The sequence below is a fragment of the Homo sapiens genome, chromosome 2 (genome assembly GCF_000001405.40).
Source record: "Homo sapiens chromosome 2, GRCh38.p14 Primary Assembly".
Classification (NCBI taxonomy): Eukaryota; Metazoa; Chordata; class Mammalia; order Primates; family Hominidae; genus Homo; species Homo sapiens.
In genome coordinates, this window is record NC_000002.12 from 42494104 (window position 1) to 42506777 (window position 12674).

The following is a 12674-nucleotide window of genomic DNA, read 5'->3' on the forward strand; positions in this document are numbered from 1 at the left end:
CTTCCCGCCCGCGCCCGCACCTCCCCGGCTTGCTCGGGCTGGGATTCCCGGGCGCCCCGCCCTGGACCTCGGGCTCCCCGCCTCGTGACGCCGTCCTCCCCCTCCGCTCCGGCCCGTAGTGGCGGGGAGGGGTCCGCAGGGCGGGGGAGCGGGGAGCCCAGCGCCGGGATGCCTGCTCCCGCGTCCTGCCCTGGGCCATCGGGATGAATTGGGCAGTCCCCAGGGCCCCTTTTAACAGCCCTGGTTCAAAGCCCAGTGTGGACTCGGGTGCGGGGACAGACGGCGTTTGGAGAGCTTTTTCCAGAAACTGTCCGGAGCCCAGCTCGGGTTCTGACATCGCCCCTAAGGATTTCTCAGGGAAGGCATCCCAGCCACGGCTTTTCCTGCCGACTTTGCTCTTCCTACCGCCGCGCGGGGCGACCCACGTACCGCGTGCTCAGAGGGCGGCTACACGCCCCATCCCCCAGCCTCGGTGCCGCCTGCCAGCCCGCGGAGGGAAGCGGTCCCCGACCCGGCCCCGGCCCCCACGTTCTGGGGCGCGAGTCCTGAGAAGGCGCCTAACGTGTAGCGCGCCTGGACCCTCTCGAGATGCTGCCCTTAGAGTGGGATGAAAGTCTGGGGAGGAACGCCTTGTCACCGGCAAAAACAGCCTTTCTCTTGGTCTTCGTCTGCATCCTCCTTTTCAAAATATCTTGATTTCCCCCGCGCACCCCTGACCCGGCTGCAGCACCGGCCCTCCGAGCGGGAAGAGCCCCGTGAAGGCTCCGCAGAGCGATCTACCCCGCGCTCTTGTCCGTGCCCAGAAAGCGGGTTCCACTTGGCAGGGATTATTTTAAACTGCTACCAGCAATTCATTCACCTGACACCCGACACCGGCAGCCCAGCCCGCCGGAGGCGAGACAGGTGAGTTGTAAGGCGAACCGTGTTAGATGCAAAACAAATACTAGAAGAAAAAAATAAGGGTGGGGTAGGGTGAGATGCGGTCATCTGACCACAGGGTAACCTGGCTGGTTAAAGGGAAGAGTTTTTCATTGCCCTCTACTTTTCGTAATTTTGTAGGATTGTCCGGTGCCCGCTAGAGGTCGCCAAACGGAGTCCTTTTGCGCTGGTTCTTAAGTGGATTCCTAGTGAAAAGGCAGACAACTGAAAATGTGAGTGCTGTCTTTTAAGTAAAATCACTCTCGGTGGCTTCTTAAAGAATGAAAATCTCTGTGAGTTGTTTATCCCCAGACTTGGATAATTTATCTTAAGAGCACTAAATGTGATTAAAAGCTCAAAAACAGGAGTTATTTGCTACTTTAGTATCTACTAAATAGTTTGCTATTCAGTATCTATTTTGCTATTTAGTGTCTACTGGGTAGATACTGCTACTTTGCTGTTTAGTATCTACTAAGTAGATATTAAACAAGAAAAATATCTGTAAGAAAGTGAGTTTCAAGACAGAATTGGAGGTGCTGATGGCCATGAGTTGGCACAGAGAAAGGGCAAAACATTCCTAGTAGCAAAATCTCGAATGTGGAGGTTTAAAGTCTGTGAAGAAGTATAATGCACTTGCCCACTGAAACAATGGGGATCTCAACTGCAGCATTTAAATTGGATCCCATAAGCAATGGAATCCCTGGAGGTTTCCATAGCAGAAATGGCTTGATGAAAGCTTTATTTCAGGAAGATGCCTTTGCACTTTGGGTCATTCTAAGGAGAAGGTCATTTCGCAACCCAGGAATGGGATCCCCAACCCCGTGTCTGTGAAGATGAAGAAGGGTCTGTTCTGAGAAACGCTGAGACCAAGAACTTTGCAGGTCTTGAAGATGGATTTGTTGTAGGACGTGAGGATGGGGAAAAGTTTGCAGATGTGAGCCAGAGATGAGCCTGGCTTGATACCAAGAGCCAATTCATCAGGAAGCCGTTAAAAAATACTTTCTAGAAGCATCACAAGCAATAGAAGACAGAACTATAGTGCCGATTGTTTGCTCTAACATTATTGTAGGGTTTATTTCCTGTGTTCTCTCCGTAGAATCCTTCTACTGTCTGTTGATTGAACCAGTTGAAGAAATATCTCATTTTAAATTACATTTGAGCTTAGAAAACAAATTAATTTGATGACAATACAATGTGTGCCTCCTAGGTATATTTTCATGCGATTTCTTAGAGAGATAGGCTTAAATCATTTCATTTGTTTCAAGAGTAATATTTTTATTTGATTTTAATATCATCAACCACTGCTGCAGCAGCAATACCCAAATCGTTTTCTTAAACAAAGAAAACAGTGATGCAGAAATGATAGGCTTGTCTCAATATAATCTGGTTTAGAGAGCATTCTTAAAGCCAATTCTATTCTTTGTACTTTGAGAAGATAATGTTGAGAAGTATTACATCCAGATTCTCTCCTAGACTCGGGATGGTATTTAGGGTCTTCATATCTAAATCTTTAGAATGCATTACAATTTAAAGGTAGAATTTTAGAGTTTGAAAGAACCTAGAGGTTTTCTAGTTTCAGAACCTAGGAAAAAAAAAAAAAAAAAAAAGCAAATTACTCCCATTTTTTCCTCCCCTCCGAAGTTACAAAGCTTCAGAGATGTGGCTGTAACTAGCCCGAGCATTCCCAGCAGCAGCATCCTGGCAGAGGCTAGAATCAGGTTTTCTCATGTCAAACTCTGCTCACTCTGTTTCCAGGGCCTGGATTGCTGCCACAACCTTCTACCTCATCTCTTTGCACTCCAGTTCTTTCCTATCTCTATGAATTCTGAATAAGGCCACCACAGAGCTCTTCCTTCCATCCATTTTCATCAGGGCATTCCCAAATTCAAAAACCTGAAAGGTGGCTGGGTGTGGTGGCTCACGCCTGTAATCTCAGCACTTTGGAAGGCCGAGGCAGGCAGATCACCCAAGTTCAGGAGTTCGAGACCAGCTTGGCCAACATGGTGAAACCCGTTTCTACTAAAAATTCAAAAAATTAGCCAGGCATGGTGGTGCACACCTGTAATCCCAGCTACTGGGGAGGCTGAGGCAGGAGAATCGCTTGAACCTGGGAGGCAGAGGTTGCAGTGAGCTGAGATTGTGCCATTGGACTCCAGCCTGGGCTACAAGAGCAAAACTCCTCTTGAAACTAGAGGTTTTCAAAAAAAAACAAAACAAACAAAACCTAAAAGGAGTATATAAAAGTAGATAATTAGAAATTGTCCATACAATAAAGTCCAAATTGGCCAGGCGCGGTGGCTCATGCCTGTAATCCCAGCACTTTGGGAGGCCGAGGCAGGTGGATCATGAGGTCAGGAGTTCGAGAGCAGCCTGGCCAAGATGGTGAAACCCCGTCCCTACTAAAAATACAAAAATTAGCTGGGCGTGGTGGTGCGCCCCTGTAATCCCAGCTACTCAGGAAGCTGAGGCACGAGAATCGCTTGAACCCGGGAGGCAGAAGTTGCAGTGAGCCGAGATCGCTCCACTGCCCTTGAGCCTGGGTGATGGAGCGAGACTCCATCTCAAAAAAAAAAAAAAAGTCCAGATTGTCTATAGGGCTCTCTCTAGGCTCAAACCCTGGCTGTATAACTCATTTGCTAAGCCACCTGGAGCCAGTTCCTTAAACCTCATTGATCTTCAGTTTTTCTCCTCCGTAGAATGAAGATAATAATACCTACATCCAAAGGGGTAATGAAAAGATCACAAGCTGATGTGAAGGTGGTATATAGCTCAGTGCATGACACTAGAAACATCTCACTTCATGTATGCTTCCTTTAGCCCAAATCAGCCATGCTCATTTCTCATTCCTGGGTTCTAAATAAACACAGATTGGATAAGTGAATTGATTTGTCTAAACATGTGACCAACAACAGAGTAACCTGAAACAAAAAATTCAGTAAAAAGTTGTGACCCTTTTACTGCTGACTCTGGCTTGAACACAGATTCCTCCATCACTTTGCATTGCATAACTGGATGTGTTCGAGGACTCCAAACACCGTTTCCCCCAAAGCTTTAGAAATTGAAATACCCTGTGGGCACTACTGTTCCATGCAGCTTACTTATCAACTCTGTCTGCTTTAAAAAGCCCTTGCCCTGCTGTTAATTCATATTTTTCAATGTTTGCATTTACATCAGTTTATTTCTCAGCCTCTGCCGAATCAGTTGGTACTTTTAAAGACAGCTTTTCGAATGGAAATTCAAATGGAAACTTCTCTCATTTTAAAATATAAAAGGCTAATGACTTAGCCCAGTGTGCAGAATGACCCCTGTAGAAGGTGTTCAGAAGACCACCAGGATGGCTGAATGGTAGAAAGGAGAGCTTTATTGTTGTTATCAGTTTGCAAGCCAGGAAGAGAAAGTCTCCGGTGTGGACTGAAGGTGCTCTCTCTTCAAAGAGGGAAATAACAGGTTGGGTTTTAGGCCTCACAGGGCCTGTATCATACATAGTCAGCAGGCTTGGGGGAAAAGCTATACATACTTACGGGGGAGGCGCACACATGCATAATTGGTACACATATATGTAACATACATCGTGTTCACTTTGTGATGGGGCTTTAGCATTAAAATGAGGTGGAATTTGGCTCTTTATGTCAACAGGTGAACTACAGGCCACAAAGACAGCTTGTGTGCTGCCTCTGTAAGCTGGCTGAAACTGACCTGGGGTCTGCAGCAGCTCATCAGAAAAGAATGTTTGTAATGGCTGTCTATCCAGACAGAGTTGTTGTCATCTGGGTTGTATAACAGAATTGAAAACTCCTATTTTTAGGGAGTTTAGCCACAGTAATTTAGAAATTTGCCAGCCAAGCCCTGAGCCCTTGACCCATCAGTAACTTGGTTTCCTTATCTTAGGGTCTGTCTTAGTTTATTAAGGGGCATCTATTTTCGTCTCTCAGATTACAAAGGTAGAGCTGTAACTCAATAGCACTATGAGGTTATCCCAAGATTCAGAGTGGTCTTGTTTACAGAGCTCTAATACAGGGAGGTATAAGTCAAAGGGTATGAAGTTTCAGTTATATAGGATGAATAAGTCCTAGAGATCTACGATGTGGCATAGTACCTATATTCAATAGTACTATAATGCATACTTAAGCATTTGCTAAGAGGGTAGATCTTTTTTTTTTTTTGAGACGGAGTTTCACTCTTTTTGCCTAGGCTGGAGTGCAATGGTGCGATCTCAGCTCACCGCAACCTCCGCCTCCCAGGTTCAAGCGATTCTCCTGCCTCAGCCTCCTGAGCAGCTGGGATTACAGGCATGCACCATCACCCCGGCTAATATTGTATTTTTAGTAGAGACAGGGTTTCTCCATGTTGGTCAGGCTGGTCTTGAACTCCCAACCTCAGGTGATCCACCCGCCTCGGCCTCCCAAAATGCTGGGATTACAGGCGTGAGCCACCACGCCCGGCGAGGGTAGATCTTATAGGTGTTCTTATCATTTCAAAAAAAGGAATAGTGGGACATGATGGCTCATGCCTGTAATCCCAGCACTTTCGGAGGCCGAGTCAGGCAGATCACGAGATCAGGAGTTCAAGACCAGCCTGACCAACATGGAGAAACCCCGTCTCTACTAAAAATACAAAATTAGCCGGGGTGGTGATGCATGCCTGTAATCCCAGCTACTTGGGGAGGCTGAGCAGGAGAATCGCTTGAACCTGGGAGGCGGAGGTTGCGGTGAGCTGAGATCAAGGCAATGCACTACAGCCTAGGCAACAGAGGGAAAAAAAAAAAGGAATAATAAAAAGACAGAAAGAAACTTTCAGAAGTGATGGATATGTTTATGGCATAGATTGTGATGACAGTTTCAAAAGTGTATACTCATCTCCAAACCCAAGAAGTTGTATACATGAAATATGTACAGTTTTTTGTATGTTAATCATACCTCAATAAAGTGTTTTCTTTTTTGAAAAAAAAAAAAGAGAGAGAGAGATGGCTGGGCATGGTAGCTCATGCCTGTAATCCCAGCACTTTGGGAGGCAGAGGCAGGTGGATCATTTGAGGTCAGGAGTTTGAGACCAGCCTGGGCAACATGGTGAAACTCTGTCTCTACTAAAAATACAAAAATTTGGCCGGTGGCTCACGCCTATAATCTCAGCACTTTGTGAGGCTGAGGCAGGTAGATCACCTGAGGTCAGGAGTTCGAGACCAGCCTGGCCAACATAGTGAAACCCCATCTGTACTCAAAATACAAAAATTAGCTGGACGTGGTGGTGGGCGCCTGTAATACCAGCTACTCGGGAGGCTAAGGCGGGAGAATCTCTTGGACCTGGGAGGCGGAGGTTACAGTGAGCCGAGATCACGCCACTGTACTCCAACTTGGGTGACAGAGTGAGATTCCATCTCAAAAAAAAAATTAGCTGGGTGTGGTGGCACGTGCCTGTAGTCCCTGCTACTCAGGAGACTGAGGCAGGAGAATCGCTTAAACCTGGGAGGTGGATGCCAGTGCACTCCAGCCTGGGTGACAGAGGCTCTCTCAAAAATAAACAGAGAAACAGAAATGAGAGATACAAGAAAAAACGTAAAAGTTCTCAGATATCTAAGGCTGAGGCAAGAAATATGTGTAAGGGAGGGGAAAAATTTTTTCCTCTACCTTCCTAGGTTCTTGGCCTATGCTCCTACAAATTAGACTGACAAAAGATAAATTAACAAGAGAAACACAGTTTATTAGAAACACTTTATTAACAAGTACAGCATAGTACATTACACCGAGAAAATCAAAGGGTTGTTAGTATCAAAATCAAGAGGCTTTATGAAGCTTTTTTTTTTTTTTTTTGAGACGGAGTCTCACACTCTCGCCCAGGCTGGAGTGTGGTGGCGTGATCTCGGCTCACTGCAAGCTCTGCCTCCCGGGTTCACGCCATTCTCCTGCCTCAGCCTCCCGAGTAGCTGGGACTGCAGGTGCCTGCCACTACGCCCGGCTAATTTTCTGTATTTTTAGTAGAGACGGGGTTTCACCGTGTTAGCCAGGATGATCTCCATCTCCTGACCTCATGACCTGCCCACCTCCGCCTCCCAAAGTGCTGGGATTACAGGCATGAGCCACCGCGCGTGACCTGTATAGCATCTTAATAAAGAATAATAAATTTGCTACGAAGTAACCAGCTAAAGGAAAAGGAGTTTAGGCTTTTAGGGGTGGCAAACTATGGGAAAGTAAACATGTCAGGAAACTAACAGAAGGTAAGTGTTGTTTTATAAGATGCATTATGCATTACATAGATTCCTCTGGTCCTATCTCTAGGCTGATAAGAGGCTAGGGTCTCCAGTGGTTAAGAATCTTTCTTCCTTTCCTAGTAGAGAAGAGGAGGGCATAATTTTTTTCTTATGTCTGATTCTTCTCAATTGCCTTTAGCTCAAAATAATCCTTACCTCAAAATGGCATATTTTGGGAGGCATATTCTGATTCCCTGCATATGGCATGGAGGCCATTATTGTATTGTCAGCCAACCCACTCCTAACACTGTAGCTTCATTAAACTTAACATTTAGGTAACATTAAAGTTACCTAACTGAACTTGAGTCCACTACCCAATGCAGTAAAGTCAAACACTGGCATCAGGATTGCAGCGAGACAAAGTGAGGCATTTATTACAGAGTGCCAAGCAAGGAGAATCGGACAGCCCATGCTTAAGACCTGAATTCCCAGCTGGTCACGGTGGCTCATGCCTGTAATTCCAGCACTTTGGGAGGCCGAGGCGTGTGGATCACTTGCGGTCAGGAGTTTGAGACCAGCCTGGGCAACATGGTGAAACCCTGTCTCTCCTAAAAGTACAAAAATTAGATGGGCCTGGTGGCGCATGCTTGTAATCCCAGCTGCTGGGGAGGCTAAGGCAGGAGAATCACTTGAACCTGGTAGACAGAGGTTGAGGTGAGCCGAGATCGTGCCACTGCACTCCAGCCTGGGCAATAGAGTGAGACTCTATCTATCTCAAAAATTAAAATTAAAATTTAAATTTAAAAAAGACCCAAATTCCCTGATGGCTTACAGGTAAGGGTTTTTAAAGTCAGGAAGGCAGAGGTTACAGGCAAAGTCATAAATCAATACATGGAGGCCATACATTGGTTTGACCTGAAAAGGGGGGACATCTCAAAGTGGGGGTGTTGGGGGTGGCCAACAGGTCATAAATGGATTCAAAGATTTCCTGATTTGCAATTGATTAAGGAGTTGAAGCTTTGTCTAAAAATTTGGGATCAGCAAAAAAGAACGTTGGCTCTGGCCTGCAAGTGTGACCTCCTCCAGGACCCTCAGGAAGAATTTTAGAACAAAGAATGGCAGTCTGAGTTCAGTTGTTAGTCCGCCATCTGAGGTCTGTGTGCCAGTGGATGTGTTTGGTGGAGGTACGGGTTTCTGAAAAACAACTCAGGGACATATGTGCAGATGTTATCTTTACTTTCTATAGGGAAATAACATGCCATGATTCTAATTTCCTTAGCTATTATTGTTATTGGAAAGGGGTCCCAATCCAGCCGGGTGCGGCGGCTCATGCCTGTACTCCCAGCACTTTGGGAGGCCAAGGCAGCTGAATCACCTGAGGTCAGGAGTTTGAGACCAGCCTGGCCAACATGGTGAAACCTCGTCTCTACTAAAAATACAAAATTAGCCGGTGTAGTGGCGCATGCCTGTAATCCCAGTCACTCAGGAGGCTGAGGCAGGAGAATCACTTGAACCCTAGAGGCGGAGGTTGTGGTGAGCTGAGATCACATCATTGCACTCCAGCCTGGGCAACAAGAACAAAACTCTGTCTCAAAAAAAAAAAAAAAATTAGCCGGGCATGGTGGCAGCCGCCTGTAATCCCAGCTATTCAGGAGGCTGAGGCAGGAGAATCACTTAAACCGGGAGACAGAGGTTGCAGTGAGCTGAGATCGCACCACTGCAGTCCAGCCTGGGAGACAGGGCAAGACTCTGTCTCAAAAAAAAAAGCAAATAAATAAAACATTAAAAAAAAAGGAAAGGGGTCCTGATCCAGACCCCAAGAGAGGGTTATTGGATCTCACACAAGAAAGAATTGGAGGCAAGTCCGTACAGTAATGTGAAAGCAAGTTTGTTAGAGAAGTAATGGATTAAAGAATGGCTACTCCATAGACAGAGCAGGTGCTCCCAAGGGCTGCTGGTTGCCCATTTTTATGGTTATTTCTTGATGATACGCTGAACAAGGGGTGAATTATTCATGACTCCTCTTTTTAGACCATATAGGGTAACTTTCTGACATTGCCATGGCATTTGCAAACTGTCATTGTGCTGGTGGGAGTGTAGCACTGAGGACGACCAGAGGTCACCTTGTCACCATCTTAGTTTTGGTGGGATTTGGCCAGCTTCTTTACTGCAAGCTGTTTTATCAGCAAGGTCTTTATGACCTGTATCTTGTGCCAACCTCCTATCTCAACCTGTGACTAAGAATGCCTAACCGTCTGGGAATGCAGCCCACTAGATCTCAGCCTTGTTTTACCCAGCTCCTATTTATTCAAGATGGAGTTGCTCTGGTTCAAACACCTCTGAAATTTTAAACTACTGTTACCTTCTTGCTTGTCAGGTTGTTTATTTACTTCTCAGGACTAGCTAGGTGCCTGGAATTTACCTTGAAGGAGCTCAAGAATTTCCTTTTATTTCTATGCTTTGAGGTGGAGGGTGCCCAGCAGGCCCCTAAGAGGGGCTCCTGTTCCTTCTCATGGCCTCAAAGCCAGGTGTGGTAGTGTGTACCTGTAGTCTCAGCTGCTCAGGAGGCAGATGCAAGAGCATCCCTTTGGCCCAGGAGTTCGAGACCAGCCTGGACAACATAGCAAGCCCCCATCATTTAAACAAAATGAAAGAAAGGAAAACAAATAAATAAACAAACTGCCCTCAGACCCATCCAACCCCATGAACCACATTCTTTTTTTTTTTTTTTTTTTGAGATGGAGTTTCCCTCTTGTCACCCAGGCTGGTGTGCAGTGGCATGATCTCGGCTCACTGCAACCTCCACCTCCCGGGTTCAAGCGATTCTCCTGCCTCAGCCTTCTGAGTAGCTGGGATTACAGGCAGCTGTCACCACGCCCAGCCCAGCTAACTTATTGTATTTTTAGTAGAGATGGGGTTTCGCTGTGTTGGACAGTCTGGTCTTGAACTCCTAACCTCAGGTGATCCATCCGCCTTGGCCTCCCAAAGTGCTGGGTTTACAGGCGTGAGCTACCACACCCAGCCATGAACCACATTATTTTTTTTTGAGTCTATCAAAAGACTTCGCTCTGTCATCCAAGCTGGAGTCTAGTGGCGTGATCTTGGCTCACTACAACTTCCACCTCCCAGGTTCACGTGATTCTCCTGTCTCAGCCTCCCGAGTAGCTGGGATTACAGGCATGCACCACCATGCCTGGCTAATATTTTGTATTTTTAGTAGAGATGGCGTTTCGCCATGTTGACCATGCTGGTCTCAAACTCCTGACCTCAGGTGATCCAGCTGCCTCGGCCTCCCAAAGTGCTGGGATCACAGGGTGAGCCACCACACCAAGCCCCATGAACCACATTCTTAAAGATGAGAAGCCACCAGAGGGACATGTCGCTCCTGTGTCATACTTATGACACCATCTCACATCAATGTCCTTGCTTTTTCTTCTGCTCTAGGACCCTTTAAGCTTGCTTTTTTTTTTTTGTAGAGATGTGGTCTCCCTGTGTTGCCCAGGCTGGTCTTGAACTCCCGGGTTCAAGCAGTTCTCCCACCTCATCTTCCCAAAGTGCTGGGATTACAGGCGTGAGCTACCACAGTTGGCCCCTTTTTGCTCTTATTCAAGCAAAAGAAACACTCTCTTCCTTAAATTTCCAGCTTTGCAAAGCTCACTGTATAATCATTAACAGGTGCCATTATAGGAACAGCCCCTCTTTGTAATCTTCACCCCAGCCTCACTCCAGTCATGCTGCCCTGTTGGACTGGGATGACCCTTCTCCCCATCACCACTCTGTGGACCTTGCTCTGTACGATGGCTAAGCCCTTCTAGGAGGCACCATGCACTCTGCTGCCCACAAAAACACTGTTATTATTACTCCCATTTTGCAGATGAAGAAATGAGGCTTTAAGAGATGAGATGGGGTGGGACGTGGTGACTCATGACTGTAATCCCATCACTTTGGGAGGCTGAGGTGGGTGGATCACGAGGTCAGGAGATTGAGGCATCCTGGCTAACACAGTGAAACTCTATCTCTACTAAAAATACAAAAAATTAGCCCGGCGTGGTGGCATGCACCTGTAGTCCCAGCTACTCAGGAGGCTGAAGCAGGAGAATCGCTTGAACCTGGTAGGCGGAGGTTGCAGTGAGCCGAGATCGTGCCACTGCACTCCAGCCTAGGTGACAGAGTGAGACTTCATCTCAAAAACAAAAAAAAAGGAGATGAGATGACTGACTCACCTAAGGTTCCAAAGCTAACTAGTAAGTGCCAGAACCAATACTGAAACCCACAGACTATGCAGGCTGTCTTGCCTCCCATGCTGGCTCAGCACCACCTCTCCTCTCTACCAAGCACTAAGCACCCCCCTGGAGGGAGGAACCAGTTAGGTGATGCCAGAGGAAGCAATCAGATGAATCTAGAATGCGGATCATTATACAAGATAGTCTTCCAAAAGCCACTTTCATATCATGAAATATTTAAGGAGAAGATCATATAATGTCTGATATGTACTTCAGAACAACCAAGAGCAAGGGCAAGTGGGTGGGAATATAGATGAAACGAGATGGGCCACAAATTGATAATTTTTTTTTTTTTTTTGAGATGGAGTCTCGCTCTGTCACCCAGGCTGGAGTGCAATGGCGTGATCTCAGCTCACTGCAGCCTCCATCTCCCAGGTTCAAGTGATTCTCCTGTCTCAGCCTCCCGAGTAGCTGGGATTACAGGTGCCTGCCACCACGCCTGGCTAATTTTTGAAATTTTAATAGAGCGTTTCACCGTGTCAGCCAGGCTGGTCTCGAACTCCTGACCTCAAATGATCTGCCCGCCCCGGCCTCCCAAAGTGCTAGGATTACAGGCATGAGCTACCACACCCAGCCCCCTCAAATTGATAATTATTGAAGCTGGATAATGGGGTTCATTTTATTAATCTCTCCACTTTTATATGTATTTGAAATTATCCATAATAAAAAAGTAAAGCCCAGTACGGTGGCTCATGCCTATAATCCCAGATCTTTGGGAGGCTGAGGCAGAAGAATTGTTTGAGCCCAGGAGTTCAAGACCAGCCTGGGCAACATAGTGAGACCCTGTCTCTACTAAAAATAATTTTTTAGAAATTATCTGCATGTGGTGGTACTCTATGCCTGTGATCCCAGCCACTCAGAATGCTGAGGTGGGAGGATCACTTGAGCCCAGGAGGTCAAGGCTGCAGTGAGCCATGATCATGCCACTGCACTCCAGCCTGGGCAACAGAGTGAGACCTTGTCTCAAATATTATATATATATATTTTTTGAGTAAAAATAAAATGTTAACACCTTGGACTTCATTTAAGCTTATTTTTGAATGCCGATTGTGATTCCTTAATTCCTTCAGATTGGATCTGAAAATAGAGAGGTGTAGGCGGGGGGTAACGGATTGGAGATAATTTACTTATTATTATTATTTATTTATTTATTTATTTATTATTCTTTTTTGATATGGAGTCTCTGTCTGTTTTCCAGGCTGGAGTACAGTGGCATGATCTCGGCTCACTGCAACCTCTGTCCCAAGTAGCTGGGACTACAGGCACAGACCACCACACCCAGCTAATTT

The 12674-nt window shown here is 46.3% G+C and overlaps 1 protein-coding gene across 1 annotated transcript in view, besides 2 other annotated features; it reads left to right on the plus strand.

Moving 5' to 3' along the window:
* Window positions 7-12674, plus strand: part of MTA3 (metastasis associated 1 family member 3) — a 262837-nt gene continuing 250169 nt past the window's right edge. The window contains exons 1-2 of the mRNA NM_001282755.2: window positions 7-903; window positions 1060-1151. The gene's annotated coding sequence lies outside the window, so the exon portion shown is untranslated. The remainder of the gene's footprint in view (window positions 904-1059; window positions 1152-12674) is intronic.
* Window positions 72-151: a silencer, noted in NCBI's record as "silent region_11406". NCBI's record gives its function as "represses an Ori minimal core promoter by ATAC-STARR-seq in GM12878 lymphoblastoid cells {active_cell/tissue: GM12878}" and the evidence as "EXISTENCE:reporter gene assay evidence [ECO:0000049][PMID:35858748]".
* Window positions 906-1200: an enhancer, noted in NCBI's record as "tiled region #13941; K562 Activating DNase unmatched - State 4:PromP". NCBI's record gives its function as "activates a minimal TATA promoter and a strong SV40 promoter by Sharpr-MPRA in K562 cells {active_cell/tissue: K562}" and the evidence as "EXISTENCE:reporter gene assay evidence [ECO:0000049][PMID:27701403]".